The sequence below is a fragment of the Homo sapiens genome, chromosome 19 (assembly GCF_000001405.40).
Source record: "Homo sapiens chromosome 19, GRCh38.p14 Primary Assembly".
NCBI classification, from domain to species: domain Eukaryota; kingdom Metazoa; phylum Chordata; class Mammalia; order Primates; family Hominidae; genus Homo; species Homo sapiens.
Window position 1 is genome coordinate 38,277,275 of NC_000019.10, and position 23,240 is coordinate 38,300,514.

At 51.5% G+C, this 23,240-nt stretch overlaps 1 protein-coding gene across 2 annotated transcripts in view, besides 2 other annotated features; it reads left to right on the plus strand.

Moving 5' to 3' along the window:
• Positions 1 to 15,341, plus strand: part of SPINT2 (serine peptidase inhibitor, Kunitz type 2) — a 28,043-nt gene extending 12,702 nt beyond the window's left edge. Inside the window, exons 2-7 of one of the 2 annotated variants that reach the window (NM_021102.4) lie at positions 6,353 to 6,523; positions 10,602 to 10,661; positions 11,864 to 11,917; positions 12,845 to 13,006; positions 13,263 to 13,301; positions 14,566 to 15,341. In NM_021102.4, coding sequence (NP_066925.1) covers positions 6,353 to 6,523; positions 10,602 to 10,661; positions 11,864 to 11,917; positions 12,845 to 13,006; positions 13,263 to 13,301; positions 14,566 to 14,732 — 653 coding nt within the window. In that variant the 3' untranslated portion in view covers positions 14,733 to 15,341. The remainder of the gene's footprint in view (positions 1 to 6,352; positions 6,524 to 10,601; positions 10,662 to 11,863; positions 11,918 to 12,844; positions 13,007 to 13,262; positions 13,302 to 14,565) is intronic. The other variant, NM_001166103.2, reaches the window with a different exon arrangement.
• Positions 17,239 to 17,740: an enhancer, noted in NCBI's record as "H3K27ac hESC enhancer chr19:38785153-38785654 (GRCh37/hg19 assembly coordinates)". NCBI's record gives its function as "activates a minimal SCP1, AML or CMV promoter by ChIP-STARR-seq in primed H9 embryonic stem cells {active_cell/tissue: H9 hESC(primed)}" and the evidence as "EXISTENCE:reporter gene assay evidence [ECO:0000049][PMID:30033119]".
• Positions 20,926 to 21,559: an enhancer, noted in NCBI's record as "H3K27ac-H3K4me1 hESC enhancer chr19:38788840-38789473 (GRCh37/hg19 assembly coordinates)". NCBI's record gives its function as "activates a minimal SCP1, AML or CMV promoter by ChIP-STARR-seq in primed H9 embryonic stem cells {active_cell/tissue: H9 hESC(primed)}" and the evidence as "EXISTENCE:reporter gene assay evidence [ECO:0000049][PMID:30033119]".

Here is a 23,240-nt window from a genome sequence, read left to right on the forward strand (position 1 = left end):
GGTCTCTGTCACCCAGGCCTGAGTGCAGTGGCGCAATCTCAGCTCACTGCATCCTCTGCCTCCCGGTACAGGTGATCCTCCTACCTTAGCCTCTCAAGTAGCTGGGACTGCAGGTGCACACCACCACACCCGGCTCATTTTTTTTGTATTTTTGAGCTCAAGCAATTTGCTCGTCTCAGCCTCCCAAAGTGCTGGGATTACAGATGTGAGCCACTGGCCCAGTACTATCTTGCTAAGCCTATAAAATTAGATTAGATTGGTAGTACTTGGGACCCCTCAGAATTCTATAATGTCCTTCTTAGAAGGTGACAGCAGATCTATCCAGCAGACTGTAGATTGTTGTCTTAGTCACCGGCTGATTGTCTTGGTTAAAGCTCTAGTGACTTCAGAACCAGAGAAACTTGTTTTCCAACACATTCAAAGACCAGTTTGCTTTGCAATTTTGCAATAGCTGACATTCAGAATGCCTGCGAGGATTTTGTAAGTGAGGTTCATATTTCGGATAATGTGTGACTTTTGCCATTTCTGATGCTTTTCCAAAAGAAAGTTACTCTTCCCTAAAGGCAGGAATTCTACTTTTGCTTAGATATTCTGAAGCTTATGAGTTCATCCAAATTTGGTTCCTTTCAGCATTTTCCTGTTGGTCCGTCTCCGTTTTGAAAACATACAGAATGTACTTAATTTTGCCCTACCATTTGTGAGCATACAAAATAGCACTTGAGTCATATTTTTCATGATTGCTTCCCAATACTATTCTAAGACCAACATAGCATTTTGTCATTTCATAATAATAGAATTCCTCATTAAGGAATAACTTTCTAAAAATGTGTCCAGCCCATTTCCCCCCCAGCCCTGGCCGTTTCCTTTGGTATGTTGGTGTCCGTGACCCTGTCATTGAGTGTGACTGAAAACAGAGGCCTGGCAGAGGGCCTGGCCTTTGTGAGCCCTCAGATTGTGATAAAGACCCTGAGGAATGTTTTGGCTTTTAGGCAACCTCAGTTCTGTTTTCCTGCTGCCTGTTGATGCAGTGGCTTTTTCTTCCCATCAGTCTGAAGGGTCGTGTTAGTGCCTGGGCTCTCATCAGACCACAGGGAACTCATCCTGGCACTGCTGGCTGCCTCACTTTAACCACCTCAAGTCTCAGCATTCTCGTTTGTAAAGCGGAGATATTATTACGTGATTCACAGTTTTATTGTGACCATTAGAGGTAGGGCACATGATATGCCAGGCATCATGCTTGGCGAAGGCAATAAGTAATGCAGCCAGGTGCTGTGGCTCATGCCTATGATCCCAGCACTTTCAGAGGCGGAGGCAGCAGGATCACTTGAGACCAGCCTGGGCAACATGGTGAGAACCCCATCTTTACAAAAAATTAAAGTTAGCCAGGCGTGGTGGTGGGTGCCTGTAGTTCCAGCTACTCAGGAGGCTGAGATGGAAGGATTGCTTGAGCTCAGGAGGTCGAGGCTGCAGTGAGCTGTGATCATGCCACTGTACTCCAGCCTGGGTGACAGAGTAAGACTGAGTCTCAAAATAAATAAATACAAGGTTTTTGCAGAACAGTGAATGAGAAAATGCACTGTTGTTATTTGTGGTGGAAGTGAATACTATATGGCCTGTGTTTCCTGAAGGAACACTGCCTCCATTAAAACAAATGAGCAAACAAAATCCCTTTTCATGACTTCAGTTCTCTCAGGCCTGAGAGTAAAGTTTACATCATAGATGCTTAAAAACAATTCAGTTAGTGAAAGCATGTGACAAGATGAGACGATTTGTCTTCAACGAGGAGCTTCCTTCCATACTCACAAAAAGATGTGTGTCTTAACATAGTAAGGACATGGTTAAATTTAGTCTTATTTGGACCTAACTTCAGCCAATTAATCTGCTACTTAGAACTCTTTTACTCAAATGAAATTTGAGTAAAAAAAAAAAAAATTTTTTTTTTGGCCAGGTGCGGTGGCTCGTGCCTGTAAACCCAGCACTTTGGGAACCCGAGGCAGGTGGATCACCTGAGGTCAGGAGTTCGAGACCAGCCTCACCAACATTGAGAAACCGCGTCTCTCCTAAAAATACGAAATTAGCTGGTGTGATGGCGCAGTCCTATAATCCCAGCTACTCAGGAGGCTGAGGCAGGAGAATCACTTGAACCTGGGAGGTGGAGGTTGCAGTGAGCCGAGATCGCACCATTGCATTCCAGCCTGGGCAACAAGAGCAAAACTCCATCTTAAAAAAAAATTATTATAATAATTTTCAAGTATATACAAAGCAGTGACACATTTTGTAAACCCCCATGCACCATCACACAGCTTCAACAACTACCAACATCTGTCTTTCAGACATGTTTTTAGTCCAAGTTTTCTCTTAATAAAGAGACTTTTTCTTTTTCTTTTTTGTTTGTTTGAGACTGAGCGTTGCTCTGTCGCCCAGGCTGGAGTGCGATGGCAAGATCTTGGCTCACTGCAACCTCCGCCTTGCGGGCTCAAGTGATTCTCCTGCCTCAGCTTCCTGAGTAGCTGGGACTACAGGTGCCCACCACCATGCCCAGCTAATTTTTGTATTTTTAGTAGAGATGGGGTTTCGCCATGTTGGCCAGGCTGGTCTCGAACTCCTGACCTCAGGTGATCCGCCCACCTCACCCTCCCAAAGTGCTGGGATTACAGGCGTGAGCCACCATGCCTGACCATAAAGACATGTTTCTAAATTCTCCTGGGACAACAGTGAAGTTCTACCTTTCCTTCCTACTTTACCGAAGGAACCTGAAAATAAGGCTGCTTTCTGAAACTTAAACTACTAAGTCAGTGATATTTAGAGCAGATGTAAGCAGCTGTCTAGACACAGAATGGCTTCCCAGGCTCGCAAGACTTGTCATGAAGCCCCCAGCACGTCAACAGAAAGCATCCAAGCTAGAAGAGGCACTGGCTCACAGCAGCACCCCAGAAAGGAAGCGTCTCAGGGACAGATCGTGACCGTGCTCCGGAAGAGCTGTCCTCAGCCGCTACTGTGAGCATTTGGCCTGCCTGACAGATTCTGTTGGTGAGAATGTTCTTAGGAATCATACAGTAAACTAACTTTATTCTGACTTCAAGCATCGTGTTCCATTGATGCTTGCTTTCCAAGGTGTTTTGCTGATTCACATCAGCATGCAACCTGCTTGACAGAATACAGTGATGTTCTCACTGTAAATTCATCACCTGCTGCTGTGGTCTCATGTATCATCCCGTGCGCTGTTAGCTGAGGCCAGTGCTCCTGTGTCTCCTCAGCACGAGGGCACTGGCAAGAGTGCATGTCTGGGCCTATAAAGATGTTGGCCAGGTTCTAGGCAGGGTTGAATTCACCAAGGTAACTGCCATCCATCCCTCAATAGGCATTTTTTCTCCTACACACCCTCAGGCACATGCCACGTGTACCTGGCACCCTTACTTACGAAGTTACCGAATTCCTGCCATGATACTGTGGGTCACCCTGCTTCATTCTCAGGTGTGGTGTCGGGTGGTTCCTGCCTGGGCGCCGGGTGTTGTTGGGCCCTCCCTCAGGTTATTGGTTTTTGTTTTGAGATGTAATTCACATGCCATATGATTCACCCATTTAAGGTGTACAATATTCCCCTGAAGTTTATTGTGGAAAAAGGCTGTGTCTGACACTGCTTAGGAAGCTAAGACACAAAGCAGCCAGAGGGGCTGCCAGGGCTCACTGTGGCAGGGCGGCGGAGAGGCTGCTGGCGCCTCTGTAGCTGTTGGGTGCTCTTGCCTTGATGCTGTTTTCAGCTTTGGATTGTAATTGGGTCCCACGTGGGTCCTCTTCATCTCGTCTTGTTGGTGGCAGTGTTGCTCCCAGCGTTGGGGTGGGCAGAGTCACACACCAGAGGACCTCCTCCTGCTGTTTTCTCTGGACCTTGTTGATTATGTGTTTTGTGACCTTTGGCATATTGTACCTGTTCCAGGTGTACAGCCAGCTGGTTTTGGTTGATGTGTAATGGACAAAAGGTGCCCCTATTTAAAAAAAAAATTTTTTTTCTGCTTGTAGTCCCAGCTACTCAGGAGGCTGAGGTGGGAGGATCACTTGAGCCTAGGAGGCAAGGCTTCAGTGAGCCATGGTCCTGCCACTGCACTCCAGCTTAGGTGACAGAGGAAGACCCTATCTCAAAAACAATTATATAGGCCGGGCGCGGTGGCTCATACCTGTAATCCCAACACTTTGGGAGGCTGAGATGGGCGGATCACCTGAGGTCAGAAGTTCGAGACCAGCCTGGCCAACATGGTGACACCCCATCTCTACTAAAAATACAAAATTAGCCAGGTGTGGTGGTGCATGCCTGTAATCCCAGCTACTTGGGAGGCTGAGGCAGGAGAACAGCTTGAACCTGGGAGGTGGAGGTTGCAGTTAGCGGAGATCACGCCTCTGCACTCCAGCCTGGGCAACAAGAGTGAAACTCTGTCTCAAAAAAAAAAAAATTATCATAAAATCACTCGTTTTAAGTATATCATCCAAGGATTTTAGCACCTTCTACAGAGCTGTGCAGCTATTGCCACAATCCAATTTTAGAACATTTTCATCATCCCCTAAAGATCCTTTTACCCATCACTCCCCATTCCCACCCCCAGTACCAAGCAGCCACTCATCTACTTCCTGTGTCTATTGATTTGCCTTTTATGGACATACTGTACACTTTCATTCATATGAAGTGTCTAGATAAGGTACCCTCTAACGGGTGACTTTTCATGGTTAGCTTTTTTCAAATGATAGGGAATTTCCTGCTTCAGAAGATGCTTTTTCTGCTGTGCTACTTACCTGTGATCTATTGTGTGGGTGGGATTTCCTTGGAGGCATGTATGTGTTTGTTTGTTTTGCAGAGTAGCAACCTTTTTTGTCCGTTGATTAGTGTTCTGTGGAACATCTGGTTTCATGCCCATCACTGTGACATATTTGGGGAGACACAACAGAAGATATATCCCTAGTGGGTGAAACAAACCTAACAAACATGAAAACAACTAGCGAGGAGTCAATGACAACATCTAAGCAAGCGTTTGGCTGTGGGATGCTTTTATTGGAGACATGTTTATCAAGCATCCTGTGCCAGGCCCTGTGCAGGTTGGAATGCCCTTGTGCTGAGCAGGCAGAGGTGGGTGAAGGCCAGGGTTAGGGAGGGGTGATAACCGTGATACAGGAGCAGACATGGAGCCACACAGCCAGGCTGTTTTCTTTTCAGGTCGCCTTCAATCCTTCCAGTGGAAAGGCTTATTTTGGTGCAGGTGTTGCTTCTAGCAATTGTTTCTCTCTCCCTTTCAAGAGAGCGTACCGACCTTTTGCAAGAAGTGTTTCTGGCTGGAATTTTATAACATTGGCTTTTGTTTCCCTTTTACTAAAGTAGGGCCAGATTTGAGGGTGCCTTGAAACCCAGGCCCATCTTGGTGTGCCCAAATAGGAGCTGTAACAAGCCGTGGTGCAGGGGTAGGACCTGTGTTGTCTTTGGAGCCATGGGCTGGGCTGCAGGCACTCGAGTTAAGAAGCTTCCTTCTGAGGCTCTTCCAGTAATTTGAGTGTCCTGTGGCCTGCCTGGGCAGAGAGTGGACAGGAAAGATCAGGAAAAGCACGTGTGAGGACTACCGAGGGTGCTGATAGCGCCTCTCCTTCCCAACTTCACTTCTCTGGCTCTGACCTTTCAGCCCTAAGCTCCCCTTGGCCCTGTGGGATGGGGCAGCATCCAGAAGGGTCTTGGAGTCAGGTTTTGTTTTGTTTTTTTTTTTTTAAGTCATGTTTCCATTGGGCGTAGTGGCTCGTGCCTGTGATCCCAGCACTTTGGGAGGCCGAGGCAGGCGGATTGCTTGATCTCAGGAGTTGAAGACCCTCCTGGGCAACATGGTGAAACTCCATCTGTACTAAAAGTTCAGAAAAAAAAAGCCCAGCATGGTGGCGCACGCCTGTAGTTCCAGTTGCTTAGGAGGGTGAGGCAAAAGAATCGTTTGAACCTGGGAGGCAGAGGTTGCAGTGAGCTGAGATCGAGTCACCACACTCCAGCCTGGCGATGGAGTGAGACTCTCTCTCCAAAATAAATAAATAAAGTTATGTTTCTACACTGGATGTGCATGTCTTCAATAATGGGGACAGGGGACAAAACACACAACTGAAATACAGTTCAGTGGGTGGGTTGCTGTCTTTATTGTTGGGTGATGTGTTTATACAAGGAAGGAAGCACTGAGTGGGCCTGTTGACGATCTGGGCTTGGGAAACAGCTCACAGGGGAACTGCTGGAACTCAAGGCTCTGGTTCTCCTGGGGGATCCATGTACAGGTCTGTGCGTGTCCTTTGTTGCCAGGATTGCCCTGCCAAGCTAACCGGGTTGTGCTTCGCGTTTCAGACTTCTGCCTGGTGTCGAAGGTGGTGGGCAGATGCCGGGCCTCCATGCCTAGGTGGTGGTACAATGTCACTGACGGATCCTGCCAGCTGTTTGTGTATGGGGGCTGTGACGGAAACAGCAATAATTACCTGACCAAGGAGGAGTGCCTCAAGAAATGTGCCACTGTCACAGGTGAGATGGCAGTAGTTGGAGCTTTTGTTTTTTTCCTTTTTTTTTTTTTTTTTTTTTTTTTTGAGACGGAGTCTTGCTCTGTCGCCCAGGCTGGAGTGCAGTGGCGCGATCTTGGCTCACTGCAAGCTCCGCCTCCCGGGTTCACGCCATTCTCCTGCTTCAGCCTCCTGAGTAGCTGGGACTACGGGCACCCACCATCACGCCCAACTAATTTTTTGTGTTTTTAGTAGAGACATGGTTTCACCTTGTTAGCCAGGATGGTCTCGATCTCCTGATCTTGTGATCTGCCTGCCTCAGCCTCCCAAAGTGCTGGGATTACAGGCATGAGCCACTGCGCCCAGCCCCTGCTTTTTTTTTAGACAGGGTCTCACTGCAGCCTCCACCTCCTGGGCTCAAGCAGAACCTCCCACCTCAGCCTCCTGAGTAGTTGGGACTACAGGCACATGCCACCACACCTTGCTCATTTTGAAATTTTTTATAGAGGCGGGGGTCTCCCTATGTTACCCAGGCTGGTCTTGGACTCTTGGCCTCAAGTGATCCTCCCACCTGGGCCTTCCAAAGGGCTGAGATTACAGGCGTGAGCCACTGTGCCCAGCCAGATTTTGCTCTTTAGAGACAATTTATTAACTGGAATGTGGATACTTTCCTCTCTTTATTAGTTCTTGACAGTGGAATCTGGGTGACGTTTTAAAAAGCAGAAGAAACAGGCACCGTGTGAATGTCCTGGTGGCCGTACAGTGGTTTCACAGCAGACCCTCACTCCTCCTCTTCCCAGAAAGGGAGCAAAACAACAGGGCAGAGCTGGGGCCAGCGTGACCCAGCTTCCTTTCTCCCACTTTACTAAGTGCAAGTTTCAGAGCAGACCAAAGAGGAAGTAGCCTTGCCTTCTTGAGCAGAGGCTTTTTGATCCACTCCGACAGGGCTGCCCCTCTTGTTCCCTGGGTATTTGGGTTATTTTATTTTATTTTGAGACAGAGTCTTGCTCTGTCGCCCAAGTTGGAGTGCAGTAGAGCAATCTCGGTTCACTGCAACCTCAGCCTCCTGAGTAGCTGGGATTCCAGGTGTCCACCACTACGCCTGGCTAATTTTTGTATTTTTAGTAGAGATGGGGTTTCGCTATGTTGGCCAAGCTGGTCTTGAACTTCTGGCCTCAGGTGATCTGCCTGCCTTAACCTCGCAAAGTGCTGGGATTACAGGTGTAAGCCACCGCACCTGGCCGCTATTTGGGTTATTTTTAATTGTGGGACAAGTGACTTGAATAGCTCACCCAGCCAAGTTACCGATCAAGTTAAAACAAACATACGTCCTGGAATCCATCCTCTTTGCGGCCCTCACCTGCGAGGAGTTCTGTGGAATCAAGGTAATTTTGACCCTGATAACCTCACAGTTTAAATTAAAACCTAAACCTCCCAGCAGCGTGCCCTGGCTCTTAGCTGAGTGAGAAGGACTTCCTGAGAGCTGGTGGTGATGAGACATTGGCCCTTTGGGGCTGCTCCATCCCGAGTGTTCCAGAGACCCGAGGGTTTGGCCATCCAAATCCTATGTTAAAGATTTTCACTTTTTTCTTTTTTTCTCGCTTAGTCGCCTACCAGGCTGGAGTGCAGTGATGTGATCTTGGCTCACTGCAACCTCCACCTCCTGGGTTCAAGTGATTCTCGTGCCTCAGCCTCTCAAGTAGCTGGGACTACAGGCGTGCACCTCCACACCTGGCTAATTTTTGTGTATTTGGTGAAGATGGAGTTTCACCATGTTACCCAGGCTGGTCTCAAACGCTTGAGCTCAAGCAATCTGCCTGCCTCCCAAAGTGCTAGGATTACAGGCGTGAGCCACTGTGCCCAGCTAAACATTTCACTTTAACTGAAAAAACAAACAATTACACTGGCCTTTAAGTAAAAAATAAATAAAAATATTTTCAGCGGCACTCCCCCTAACATGTTTTTTTGATGACTTGGTGTTGTCTCTGTGAGCCACCGTTGACCCAGTTACTGTATTTCTATCGTCAGCTGTGATTCATTATGAAGGAGGACTTGGGAGAACTATCTTTTGCTACCTTTTCTGAGCTATCCCAGTCAAGAGTTGCCTTTAGCAAATGTATCTGTCCATCCTGGCTGTTTGTTACCTCCTCAGGAAGGGAGCTGAAGTGTTGAGAACTCAGGCAGTAGACAGTGAACATAGCCAGGGGACATGAGTGGCTGTGTGTTCCTGGGAGCAGGCAGGTTAGCTGTCTCCCTAGAGTCCGGCCCCGCCTTGCAGGTCCAGAAAGCACATATTGGCATCTGACTGGCTGCAATGTGTGTCTCTCGAGGCGCTCCCATGTGAGTCTGTAAAGAGCTAAACACTGCCAGGGCTGCTAGTGCCTGGGGTCCTTTGCCGGCATATTCTCTCCCAGGCAGGCAGGCTCTGTGGGAAGGCAAGTGAGAATGAGACTGCCAGTGTATTAATTCATCATGAGAACCAGGACCGCCCCGGGGAGCAGGCACTCGTGTCCCCGGGCCCACGCCTTTAGTCCGCATAGGCAAGTCTCTAGTCCAGTTGCCAGAAGACTGCTTGATGAAGAGAGAGGCAGAACGCGGGGAGCTGGTTTGCAAGGTGACCGTTTAATAGCATCAGGCTAGGCCAGGCCCGAGGATGCGGAGGAGCCAGGGTTCCCTCCATCTTGGACGAGGTGTGGGAGATAAGCGCTGTGTAAAATGTATCATGTGGGCCGGGTGCGGCGGCTCACGCCTGTAATCCAGCACTTTGGGAGGCCGAGGTGGGCAGACCAAGAGGTCAGGAGATCGAGACCATCCTGGCTAACACGGTGAAACTCCGTCTCTACTCAAAATACAAAAAAAAATTAGCCGGGCCTGGTGGCGGGCGCCTGTGGTCCCAGCTACTCCAGAGGCTGAGGCAGGAGAATGGTGTGAACCCGGGAGGTGGAGCTTGCAGTGAGCTGAGATCGCGCCAGAGCACTCCAGCCTGGGCGACAGAGCGAGACTCCGTTTCAAAACGAAAAATTTGTCATGTTAACCTTTAAAAAAAGTGTCGTGTTTTGTTTTGTTTTTCTCCCCCCAAAGAGATTAGGTCTTTTTATGTTGCCCAAGCTGGTCTCAAACTCCTGGCCTCAAGTGATGCCCCCCACCCTTCACCCAGTGTAAGCACTGGTATTACAGTTGAATTAGTTAGATGAGTTGATACAGTTAAGCAATTATTTGGCCCTGGAAGTCACTGTGTTTTGATTGTTTGTTTCTTTCTTTGAGACGGAGTTTCACTCTTGTTGCCCAGGTTGGAGTGCAATGGTCAATGGTGTGATCTCGGCTCACTACAACCTCTGCCTCCCAGGTTCAGGCGATTCTCCTGCCTCAGCCACCCGAGTAGCTGGGATTACAGGCATCTGCCATCACGCCTGGCTAACTTTTTGGGTTTTTTTGTTTGTTTTTTGAGACGGAGTCTCACTCTGTTGCCCAGGCTGAGTGCAGTGGTGCGATTTCGGCTCACTGCAACCTCCGCCTCCCGAGTTCAAGCAATTCTCCTGCCTCAGCCTCCGGAGTAGCTGGGACTACAGGCGCGTGCCACCACACCCGGCTAATTTTTTGTATTTTTAGTAGAGATGGGTTTTCGCAGTGTCGGCCAGGATGGTCTCGATCCCTGACCTCGCGATCTGCCCACCCTGGCCTCCCAAAGTGCTGGGATTACAGGCGTAAGCCACCGCACCCGGCCCTAACTTTTGTATTTTTAATAGGTTTTGCCATGTTGGCCAGGCTGGTCTCAAACTCCTGACCTCAGGTGATCCACCTGCCTTGGCCTCCCAAAGTACTGGAATTACAGCCATGAGCCACCACACCCGGCCAAGTCACTGTCTTTTTAAGGTCACTTTGCACATCTCTGCTCTGATTCCCTGCAAGTTAATCTTAAGTTTCCTCTTCGGGAGGCAATCTTGGTTCCTTATTTCCAAGTTGTGGTCTGGCATGCACATTGAAGGTCCCATGTAAAGGAGAAGTGGATGCTGTGGTGAGAGGCGCACAGGGCCAGCTCATTCTTTGTCCCTGGCAGTCTCTCGAAAGCTCTTTCACTGTGCTGTTTCTTTGTCCCCTTGCAGAGAATGCCACGGGTGACCTGGCCACCAGCAGGAATGCAGCGGATTCCTCTGTCCCAAGTGGTAGGTTCTTAAAGAGACCCGCGATGGAGTGAGGCCACCGGATGGGTCATTGTGAAAGGACACTTGTCATTTGGGAACTGTCACAGGCTTCCCTCTCATGGTTCTGTTTACTCAAAATTGGCAAACCGGGGGCTCTGCCTGGGCTGCCGGCTTCTGGCTCCAGCATCCTTATGGGGGAGTTTATACTGTCCAGCTGACACAGGGGCCGGGGATCCTGCAGCACTTCCTGGCTGGCCCCCATCTCCTCCTGGAGGATGGGATGGAGGTGGCTGCTGCCCATGAGGCTCAGGCCCCTCCTTGCTGTGCGGGCCTCCAGCTGCTCTGCTGACCCCACTCCCCACCCACCCTCCTGTCTGCCTGTTCTGTCTCCTCTGCTTCCTTTGCTCCCTGTTGCCATCGCTGTCCCCTGCCCCGTGGGCATCCTCTGTCCTCTGCCACCCCCGCCTCCCCGCCACTGCAGCTTGTGATCTCAAGATGTGTGTTAGCTTGCTTTGTAGTGCTGGCGGCTGCTGCCCCATTCCTCCTTTATGGTTTAAGGACTCTGCATCGGGCGCCTGGGGTGAGTGGTCCCGATGCACTACCAGGTAGCAAATGCACCCTCGGGGCAGACCTCAGGCCATGGACTCTGGGAGGCTGCTGTGGAGGGGGTACTGCACCGCACCCCTGCTGGAGGATGGGACTCCCCCGGCAGCTGCTACCCACCGAGTGCACTGTAGCTCAGCAGCTGTTGGGCCGGCTGGCTTGCAGAGTGCTGGGGCGTTAGGGTGGTCACTTTCCAGCTTTGCTAGGCCTGGAGTCCTGTGCCTGTCCTGGCTTTGCTCTGCCTGGCTCCCTGTTTATCCTCTGCTAGCCCCCCCACACACCAGCTCTGGTTTCCATCTTGTTGGAGAGGAACATGTCCCCCTCACTGTATTAGAAAGTGTGAACAAGACCGTGTTCCCTATAATATTAGGAGCTGTGGCAGGCTTGGTTTCTATAGGAACCCTGAGGTGGCGGCAGGGCCACCACATCCAGCACTCTCAGTGTGTGCGTAGAGCCCATTAGGGCTGGGGTGACGTGGCAGAGCCGGCCATGGAAGGGGCTACACACCCCTTCTTAAAGGCGTGTCCACACTCCTCAGTGGGCCCTTCCAGACCCAGACCCAGCTAGGCCTGTGTCCTGTGTCCGGCCCAGCCTCCCTAACACAGATGTTTGTGTTTCAGCTCCCAGAAGGCAGGATTCTGAAGACCACTCCAGCGATATGTTCAACTATGAAGGTAAAACTCCAAAGAGGCCAGGTGCGGTGGCTCACACCTGTAATCCCAGCGCTTTGGGAGGCTGAGGTGGGCGGATCACGAGGTCAGGATATCAAGACCATCCTAACATGGTGAAACCCTGTCTCTACTAAAAATACGAAAAATTAGCTGGACGTAGTGGCATGCACCTGTAGTCCCAGCTACTCAGGAGACTGAGGCAGGAGAATTGCTCAAAGCCTGGGAGGCGGAGGGTGCAATGAGCCAAGATTGCGCCACTGCACTCCAGCCTGGGCAACAGAGTGAGACTCTGTCTCAAAAAAAAAAAAAAAAAAAAAAAAAAAAACTCCGAAGAAACTTATATATGGGGCAAAACATGTATTCTTAGTTGGGTATTGAGAGACACTTGCGGATTTTCACTGAGGAAGTTGTAGAGCAGGGCTCTCCCCTCCCCAGGTGGTGGCAGCCCCCTGAGGTTGGGGTCAAGGTGACAGGCCCCACGTGGATGCCGCCAGCAGTGGGAAGGAGGCTGCGCCTGTGGAGATGTGCGTTAGAGGCGTAGCCTGGCACGTGGCTCTGCAATTTACATTGTCCCTGAACCTCTCGCCAGCGGCTTGGCTGTGGGCAAGTGACTGTTGCCCCGCCTCAGAGTTCCCATGTATAAAATGAAGGGTCCCAGATAGGTCTCATAGAGACTCAGCCACTGCATGTAAAAGGCCTAGAACAGGGCTTGGCAGAGAGCAGCCTTCAAAGCTCCGAAGCCGTCACCTGGACCCAAGGAGCAGCGCGTCAGAGCCGCTGCACTGGTCTTGGGTGTAATTTACAGGCTTCTTTACCAGAGAGATGTTTCTCCGTCTGCTGGAGCCGCAAGCCTCCTCAGGCACTTTCTGGCTTGCTTCCCCTCCTTGCGGGCCCTACTAATTTGTATTCCCTGGGCTGTCTTACTCCTAGAATACTGCACCGCCAACGCAGTCACTGGGCCTTGCCGTGCATCCTTCCCACGCTGGTACTTTGACGTGGAGAGGAACTCCTGCAATAACTTCATCTATGGAGGCTGCCGGGGCAATAAGAACAGCTACCGCTCTGAGGAGGCCTGCATGCTCCGCTGCTTCCGTAAGTCTGCAGCCCCTCAGCCCAGGAAGCCCTGCCCTTGAGGACCCCGGTCCATCTCCCCATCCCTAAAATATGAAGGCCTTGGAAATGCTGTTCTTGGGCCCACCAGGGCAGCAAGGCCTCTAAGCCCCAGAAAAGCTGGAAGAAAGCCCCTCAGAAAGAGCTCCCCATGGAGGCCCTGGCTGAGGGGATCCCCTGCGGCAGCTCTGTGGAATGGGGGCTGTGAGCTGACCTCAGGCTGTGTGTTCTCTTCCAGGCCAGCAGGAGAATCCTCCCCTGCCCCTTGGCTCAAAGGGTAAGTGGCCCCTTACCCTCCTCCTGCCATCAGCCTGCCTCCTCCCTTCCTTGACTGAGCTCAGCCCTGCCCAGCTGTGGTTTACATTATCCTTCACTGTGAACATCATCTTGGCAGAAAGTCATGTTTCTGCGTGAGAATGGCGAGGTGGTGGTTTGTCCCACCGTTCAGTGTACACAGTTGGGGCTGGAGTGAGTCAGTCACAAGGCAGGCCCTGCCCAGGCGGCGTGGGTGACTGGGGATGAGGTCTTCCTGTTGAGCATTTGAGGACTGCTGCACACGGGCCTGAGGCTGGCCTGAGGTGTGGAGGGAGCGCTGCTATGTGGGGCATAAGAGTTGGTCACGGGTGACAGGACGGAGGACCACGGGCCAGGGTGTTTCCCAACACAGTCTGGTCTGAGCGGGAGGCCAGGCCTCTGGCCTGTGTTTCTGAGCTTGAGTTGCAGGTGATAATGTTGGCACAAAAGACCTGCCATGCCAGTCTGGCCTCTTTCTCCACCTGTTTCCCGGTGAAGGAGCCAGGACCTGGCCTGCGAGTCTGTCCTGTTCTAGCAGTGAAGCCTGGTTTGCCAGGCACGGGGCTGGGAAGCAAGCAGTCTGGGTCTGGAGGGTGGCCCCAAAAAGGCCAACTCTGCAGCTCCACAGCCACATGGGGGAGGCTGCCACAGGTCACACTCCTTAGCCGGATCCCCTCCTGAAGAAAAGCATCTGAGCTGACCAGCGAGACTGCAGTGGGGCAGACACTATTAAATTTGCTGGCACAGCTCTGAGTACCCCCTCGCTTCCACCCTGACTTCATCCCGCAGTAGCTCTCAGCCCTCCCAGCCCCTGCAGGGCCACGTCTTTCTCTATTGCCGGTCAGCGTGTGTGTGCACAAAGCCCCTAAGGTTTCATGTGTACACACCGGTGCTAAGTGTTTTTTACACCCTTGTGCATCTCTCGGCCTGGGGCTCCTGTGCAGGTTGCCCTGAGAGTTGGGTTTTTAGTTCAAAAAGAAGGAACACAGATGACTACTCTGCTGGCGACACGGCCACTCTGCTGGCACGCACATAGCATGGCGCCTCCTTTTTTGGGGGACTCTCCTTGGTGGCATCTCTGGCAGGCTGTGTCCTCTCCAGCTGCAGTTCTGGACCCTGTCTGGGTTGGGGAGGGGCATTTGGTCCTCAGGCTGAGCCCACCTGGATTCCCCAGGCCCTTGGTGAGCGCCACTCTGGCTGCAACTCCCCTTGCCTGGCCCGTCCTGAGGCCCCTCTCTCGTCCTCAGTGGTGGTTCTGGCGGGGCTGTTCGTGATGGTGTTGATCCTCTTCCTGGGAGCCTCCATGGTCTACCTGATCCGGGTGGCACGGAGGAACCAGGAGCGTGCCCTGCGCACCGTCTGGAGCTCCGGAGATGACAAGGAGCAGCTGGTGAAGAACACATATGTCCTGTGACCGCCCTGTCGCCAAGAGGACTGGGGAAGGGAGGGGAGACTATGTGTGAGCTTTTTTTAAATAGAGGGATTGACTCGGATTTGAGTGATCATTAGGGCTGAGGTCTGTTTCTCTGGGAGGTAGGACGGCTGCTTCCTGGTCTGGCAGGGATGGGTTTGCTTTGGAAATCCTCTAGGAGGCTCCTCCTCGCATGGCCTGCAGTCTGGCAGCAGCCCCGAGTTGTTTCCTCGCTGATCGATTTCTTTCCTCCAGGTAGAGTTTTCTTTGCTTATGTTGAATTCCATTGCCTCTTTTCTCATCACAGAAGTGATGTTGGAATCGTTTCTTTTGTTTGTCTGATTTATGGTTTTTTTAAGTATAAACAAAAGTTTTTTATTAGCATTCTGAAAGAAGGAAAGTAAAATGTACAAGTTTAATAAAAAGGGGCCTTCCCCTTTAGAATAAATTTCAGCATGTGCTTTCTTTATGGGAGTCCTAATTTCAACCCTACCAAAATGATCACAAGACACTATCTGAGGTGTCCCATTCTAGAAATAGACCCCTCAAAATAGCGTCTTTCAGATCTTTTTGAATGAATCCACAAGATGAAATAAATGTCCTATTACTGAGTGCCCGTGAACTTTCGCCAAACCACACTTAGCCTCACCACCTGTGAACACTGATATTTTATTACTCTATTTCACTTTTTAAAACTTCTGGCTACAACCCTCTGAACTGATCTTGATGTCCCACTATAGACTGTAGCCCACACCTTGAAGCACTGCCCTCGAGGGCGCAGGAGGGGCGCATGCTGTCCAGGGAGGACCAAGACCTTCCGGGGTTGGAGGGGCTTAACCGAGTCCTTGTGGCGTCCATGACGCTTCTCCTCTCGTGGTTCTGTGCTCTCTGCATCTTGAAGGGGTGGTGGGAGGGCGCTCTAGGTCAGGCCTTGCACCGCCTGCCCTGGGCTTTTCTGTCAAGTCTCCAACACACCCCTGTGTGGGAACGGGGACAGAGAACTGCCCGGCTGAATTTGGCCTTCAGGCCCAATCCTGCTGCCTCCTGTGGGTGTTCCTTTCCTGACACTAGACTCTAGAAGCCCCTTTCCTCCCTCCTCTATTCCAACAAGGAGGTCCTGGGGTACAGGCATCTGGGCGCCCCATGAGGTCCGGCAAGCAGCTGGACTCTACCTGCCTCAGAGACACAGGAGGAGTGGCCAGGTGCAGTGCCACAGGCCAGACTGCTTTCGACTGCTTGGAACCAAAGAACTTCCATGTCTTTCCCTTGGCCCTTCCTAGAAATCCCTTAGGGCTTAAAACTCTCTTCCAGAAGCAAGTTGGGCAAATAGCTCATCTGCTCCTGCCCCGCCTCCCTCACAGCAGATGCCGCAAAGGGATCCTGGTGTCCTCCCAGCTGATCCCCGCATGCCTCAGCCCACTCTCCAGTGGTCATTGCAGCTGGCTCGGGGTTGGTGAACAAGTGGAATCTACTTACCACGTCCCAGACAAATCAGACACACAGGGGTCTGGGCGAGCCTGTGGTCCAGGGAAAGAGGGCCTGGGAGTTGGGCAGAGCCTCTCCACCTGCAGCGCTCTGTGTGTGGCAGTGGGCGCGGCCCCTAACCCCTGCAAGCCTGCAGAGTCTGCACATGCACCTCTGCCCAGCAGGAGTCTTTCTCCACCAACTCCAATATGGACTGTCTCCTATCTCAGTCATGTTGAAAAAAAAAAAATTGTGCCTTTGGACTTTTTTAAAAACTTGAGAATTGGCCGGGCACAGTGGCTCATGCCTGTAATCCCAGCACTTTGGGAGGCTGAGGTGGGCGGATCACCTGAGGTCAGGAGTTCCAGACCAGCCTGGCCAACATGGTGAAACCCCCTCTCTACTAAAAATACAAAAAATTAGCCGGGCGTGGTGGCGGGTGCCTGTAATCCCAGCTACTCGGGAGGCTGAGGCAGGAGAATCGCTTGAACCTGGGAGGCAGAGGTTGCAGTGAGCCGAGATCACGCCATTGCACTCCAGCCTGGGTGACAGAGCGAGACTCCTTTCAAAACAAAAAAGCAACAAAAAAACTTGAGAATCACTTAATTCTACCATAATAGGAAGTTAGATGAAGGGAATTCTCTGAAGCCCAGTTGAGCTTCTGTAGGTTTCTAATACAATGAGCCTTTATATGTTTCTAGTGCAGAAGCTGCTGCTCTGTGACCCACTTCTCCTGCCTAAACCTGCCCCTTCTCACGGCAAGGGAGGCCTCAGCCCCTCCGCTCCTGGCAGCTCAACTCCATCCGGGCCTCTGGACTCTTTCCAGGGCGACTGGTGGGCCTCACCACAGCAGACACTCTTCAGGCTGCTGCCGCCGTGGCCCTTGAAGCTCAGCTGTGTCATGTGTTCAATTCTTGGGGCATTTTACGGCCTGACAAAGGCCCTCTTTTTGTTGGAAAGGCCACCCAACAGTGGGTCAGTGGCCTCGGCATTCAGTGGCCACTTCACATCTCTGTCTCCCTCGGGTTGCTGGCACCATTGAGAGGTGGAATGGGCTTTATAAAAAATCAACTCATTGCTGGTCCAAGTGCAGTAGTGTAACAAGTAATTGATCACAACCAGTTACAGAGTTCTTTGTTCCTTCTGCTGCTTTCCTTGACCAGCCTGAAAAAAAATCAGCTCACCGAAAATCAGCTCAGAGCTTCTCACTATCTCTTCCCCTGGTCCACAAGCTTGAGGAAGGCAGACAGTGTGGCTGTCCCTAGAAAGGGTTCCCCTGGGCCATCTCCTGGGTAAAGATCAGGACAAAGGGCTCGGCGGTTATACAGACCCATAAACATTAGGGGCCGGTGCAGTGGCTCATGCCTCTAATCCCAGCACTTTGGGAGGCTGAGGCAGGTTTATCACTTGAATCCGGAAGTTCGAGGCTAGCCTGGGCAACGTGGCAAAACCCCATCTCTACAAAAAAACAAAAATTAGCCAGGCGTGGTGATGCATGGCTGTGCTCCCAGCTACCCAGGAGGCTGAGGTGGGAGGATCGCTAGAGCCCAGGAGATCGAGGCTGCAGTGAGACACGATTGCACCACTGCACTCCAGCCAGGGCAACAGAGCACGACCCTGTCTCAAAAAAAATACAAATTGGGCACAGTGGCTCACACCTGTAATCCCAGCACTTTGGGAGGCTGAGGTGGGCCAATCACTTGAGGTCAGGAGTTAGAGACCAGCTCGGCCAACATGGTTGAAACCCCATCTCTACTAAAAATACAAAAATGAGCCAGGCGTGGTGGCACACGCCTATAGTCCCAGCTACTTGGGAGGCTGAGGTAGAACTGCTGGAACCCAGGAGGCAGAGGTTGCAGTGGGCCGAGATCGCGCCATTACACTCCAGCCTGGGTGACAGAGCGAGACTCTGTCTCAAAAAAATAAATAAAAAACAGGCCGGGCGCAGTGGCTCGCACCTGTAGTCCCAGCACTTTGGGAGGCCGAGGCGGGTGGATCACAAGGTCAGGAGATCGAGACCATCCTGGCTAACACGGTGAAATCCTGTCTCTACTAAAAATACAAAAAATTAGCCGGGTGTGGTGGCGGGCGCCTGTGGTCCCAGCTACTCCGGAGGCTGAGGCAGGAGAATGGTGTGAACCCGGGAGGCAGAGCTTGCAGTGAGCCGAGATCGCACCACTGCATTCCAGCCTGGGTGACAGAGCGAGACTCCGTCTCAAGATAAATAAATAACAAATAAATAAAAATTAGGAATTCTACCCTTATCATTCCTGGGTATGTGTGCCTCTTTTCTTCCCACAACATCAAGCCCAGGCCTGCCTGATGGGTGCAGCCTCCAGGGGGCAGGCCCACCGGAACAGGACCTATGGGGCTTGGCCTTAGTTCAGGTTCTGCCCTTGGGACTCTCCTGGACTCGCTTGTCCTAGGTCCCAAAGACAGTGGCCACTTGGTCGAGTGTCCTTTTTGCCAAGTCTCCCTACTTGGCACATCAGACAACGTGAGGGAAATCATAAGTCTCTAAATTTGTAAAAATGCCCATGTTCCATTCACATCGGACTCTTCCAAAAACAAGTCTGGGTGTGAGTAGATGTTGAAAGAAGAAGTGAAGCGGTACTTCCGGGGTGGGATACAGACTGATTTCATGTCCTTGGAGGGAGACCAACAACCTGGCACCTGAGGAGGGAACACCTTAGACCCCAGGAGGTGGGGGGAGAGGGGTGGGGAGGGTGCAATCAGTCCTCCCTCTGGCCTCCAGACCCAGCACCGCTGCTTGGCCAGACTGTCACCTGATCCTCCCAAGTCCAGCAGCATCTGCAGCTGCTATTCTGACCCACTATAAAAACACACCTGTAAGCTGGGCGCAGTGGCTCATGCTTGTAATCCCAGCATTTTGGGAAGCCCAGCACTTTGGGAAGCCAAGGCGGGCAGATCACTTGAAGTCAGGAGTTCCAGACCAGCCTGGCCAACATAGTGAAACCCCATCTCTACTAAAAATACAAAAATTAGCTGGGCGTGGTGGTGCATGCCTGTTGTCCCAGCTACTCGGGAGGTGGAGGCACGACAATTGCTTGAACCTGGGAGGCAGAGGTTGCAGCAAGCGGAGATTGTACCACTGGCACCCCAGCCTGGGCGACAGAGTGGGACTCTGTCTCAAAAAAAAAAAAAAGAAAAACCCCACACTTGTAGACATGGCCAGTCTAGAGCCATTCTGCACCTGAAGCCATCAATGGCAGCTCCTGAATGTGGGGCCCCCTCCCCCAACACACAAGATGTTTCTAAACGTAGGGACAGGCCCAGCCTTGTTCCAGTCTGGCTGGTACAAAATCATAGGCTTCTGATGCCCAAGGAGCTCTGAGCTCTACCCCACGTAGTCATTGAGCCTGCAGCTCAGTAGCACTGCCCATGGGGCTTAACCAAACCAATGCTGTGGTGTTCCAAGTGACGTTTCCCAATTCCTGCCTGGGCACAGTACTCACGCCTGTAATCCCAGCACTTTGGGAGGCTGAGATGGAAAAATCGTTTGAGCCTGGGAGGTCAAGGCTGCAGTGAACCATGCTCACAATGCTACCACTGCACTCCAGCCTGGGCAACAGAGCAAAACAAGACCCCATCTCTAAAAACAAAAACAGAAAAATTCCTGAGCTGGGCACCCTGGACCCCTCAGGTTGTGTGTTTGCATGTGGGAAGGTGGCCCACAGAATGTCTCTCCTCTGGGGAGGAGGTTGTTTTTTGGGTTTGTAATGACAGGCAATGACACCAAAGATCAGATCAGACTTGACTCCCTTGTGTGAATCCTAGTGAAGTGCTCCCAAACCTTTCTGGCACCAAGGACTGGTTTTGTGGAAGACAGTTTTTCCACAGACCAGGGTGGTGGGGGGTAGGGGGTGGTTTCATGATGAAACTTCTACCTCAGATCATCAGGCATTAGATTCTCATAAGGAAGCTGGGTGCATTGGCTCACACCTGTAATCCCAGCACTTTGGGAGGCTGAGGTGGGTGGATCACTTGAGGTCAGGAGTTGGAGACCAGCCCGGCCAACATGGCGAAACCCTGTCTCTACCAAAAATACAAAAATTAGTTGGGTGTGGTGATGCACACCTGTAATCCCAGCTACTCGGGAGGCTGAGGCATGAGAATCACTTGAACCCAGGAGGCGGAGGTTGCAGTAAGCAGAGATCATACCACTGTACTCCAGCCTGGGCAACAGAGTGAGACTGTGTCTCAAAAAAAAAAAAAGATTCTCATAAGGAGCATACAACCTAGATCCTTCGCATGCACAGTTCACTATAGGGTTTGCACTCCTATGAGAATCTGATGCTGCTGCTGATCTGACAGGAGGCGGAGCTCAGGCAGTGATGGTCACTCGCCTCCTGTGCATCTGGGTTCCTAACAGGCTGGGGACCGGTACTGGTCTGTGGCCTGGGGGTTTGGGGACCCCTGTCCTAGTGAATAGGAGACTGTGTCTGGGATGTCTGAAGTAAGACCTGGTGGTCCCCTCGCCCCTGGAACCTGGCGGCATGGTTGAGGTTAATGCTGCAGATTGGAGTCCAGTTGATCATAGATGCTTAATGAGATGCTGTATGAAACAACACATTTGGCCCCAGCCTCTGTTGGTCAGATTCATCAGAGTGGAAGCAGAATGACACATTCATTCAATTTATCAGCAGCTAAGGTGGTAGAGGGGAGTCTCTCATTCCTACAGGTCTTGCTGAATGTACCAGGAATGCATGACCCTGATAGCTCTCTCCCTTGGTTTTATTTTTTTTTTCTTTCTTTCTTTCGAGACAGAGTTTCACTGTGTCACCTAGGCTGGACTACAGTGGCACAATCTGAGCTCACTGCAACCTCTGCCTCCCAGGTTCAAGTGATTCTCTTGCCTCAGCCTCCTAAGTAGCTGGGATTATAAGGGACACACCACCAGGCTCGGCTAATTTTTGTATTTTTAGTAGAGATGGGGTTTCGCCACGTTGGCCAAACTGGTCTCAAACTCCTGACCTCAAGTGATTGACCTGCCTCGGCCTCCCAAAGTGCTGGGATTACAGGCGTGAGCCACCACGCCTGGCCTCCCTTGGTCATTTCTTACGGTTGTGTTTGCAGCAAGCACGTTGAGGGGTGAGGGCAGGCTGCGTATAGCCAGGCAGGTCCCCAAGCTTAGCATGCCTCTTTCGTAACAACCCACTCCCTGTGCAGGTGTCCATCTGGGTCCCCGGCTCTGCCTCTACAGCCCAGGGGAATCCCACACATGGTGGCGTCTGTGCTGCTTCGTGCGAGCAGGAAAGCCTTTGTCTCTGACCCTGGAGTCTCGAGACTTCTCCCAGCATTTTTGAAACAGTAAGAGGCTCACATACTAGCCTGTTAAGTGGAATCATATCAAATCCCAGACCCAGCAGTCAGCTGGGTGGAGGCCAAGCCTGGGCCTTTCCAGCTGGGTTGTCAGCCCCTTGGCACTTCCCACGGACGGTCCGTCGAGATTTCCTGACGATCAGGATCCCAGAACATCAAGGACCAGAGCAAGACTGACTGTGGTCAGAGGTTCCAGTCCAGAGCTTTCGTCTTCTGGGAAAGGAAACTGGGTCCCTGCATACTGTGTGCTTAAGGTCATCTGTCTCCCAAGATGTGGTTGATTTCAAAGAAAACATTCAGGAACAGGGATTATGGTGTTTACAGAACCAAGGCACTATATTCCTGTGAGCTTCAGGAAAGAAACCAAACCAGCCTTGCTGCAGCCGCTTTTCCAGTCCACCCATCAGCCCTTGGGCATGCAGGAGTGTGAGACCTGCCGGGAGGGCTAGACAGTGCCCTTCTTGGTCCCACACCGTCTTGCCTTCCCAACGCAGTTAAATTGACATCCAGAAATCTTCCTAAATTGCAGAGATTAAGTAAAAGCTTTCAGGGTTAGAGTGTCCCTCGGAAGGATGGCTGCTGGTGAAATGTTAGAGAAGGGGTAAGCTGACCTAGCAGTGGATGACATCAATACTGCTGCCAGCTGGGAGCACAGGTCCCTTTTTCCTACAGGGGAGAAGGCACTGTTTATACCCTCAAGGCATTTTAGGCAGAGATCATCAGGGAATAAACAGGAAAGGGCAGGCTGGGTGCAGTGGCTCATGCCTGTAACCCCAGCATTTTGGGAGGCCAAGGAGGATCAGTTGAGCCCAAGAATTCAAGACCAGCCTAGGCAACATAGTGAGACCCCATCTCAAAAAATATATATATATTTTTTGAGATGGGGTCTCACCCTGTCGCCCAGACTGGAGTGCAGTGGCGCAATCTTGGCTCACTACAACCTCCACCTCCCAGGCTCAAGCGATTCTCCTGCCTCAACCTCCCAAGTAACTGGATTACAGGCGCCAAGTAACTGGATTACAGGCGCCCACCACTACGGCCTGGCTAATGTTTGTATTTTTAGTAGAGACGGGGTTTCATCATGTTGGTCAGGCTGGTCTCAAACTCCTGACCTCAGGTGATCCACCCGCCTCAGCCTCCCAAAGTGCTGGGATTACAAGTGTGAGCCACTGCGCCCAGCCCCCAAAAAATTTTTTGTATGAGCCAAGCATAGTGGTGCATGGCTGTAGTCCCAGCTACTCAGGAGGCTGAGGTAGGAGGATCCCTTGAGCCCAGGAGGTTGAGGCTACAGTGAGCTATGATCATACCACTGCACTCCAGCCTGGGTGACAGAGCAAGACCCTGCCTCAAAAAAAAAAAAAAAAAAAAGTTACTGGGTGCGGTGGCTCATGCCTGTAATCCCAGGACTTTGGGAGGCCAGGGTGGGCAGATCACGAGGTCAGGACATCGAGACCATCCTGGCTAACACAGTGAAACCCCGTCTCTACTAAAAATACAAAAAATTAGCTGGGTGTGGTGGCGTGTGCCTGTAATCTCAGCTACTCGGGAGGCTGAGGCAGGAGAATCGCTTGAACCAGGGAGTTGGAGGTTGCATTGCAGTGAGCCGAGATCAGGCCACTGCACTCTAGCCCGGTGACAGAGCAAGACTCCGTCTCAAAAAAAAAAAAAAAAAAAATAGAAGAAGAAAACAAAAACTAACATTGA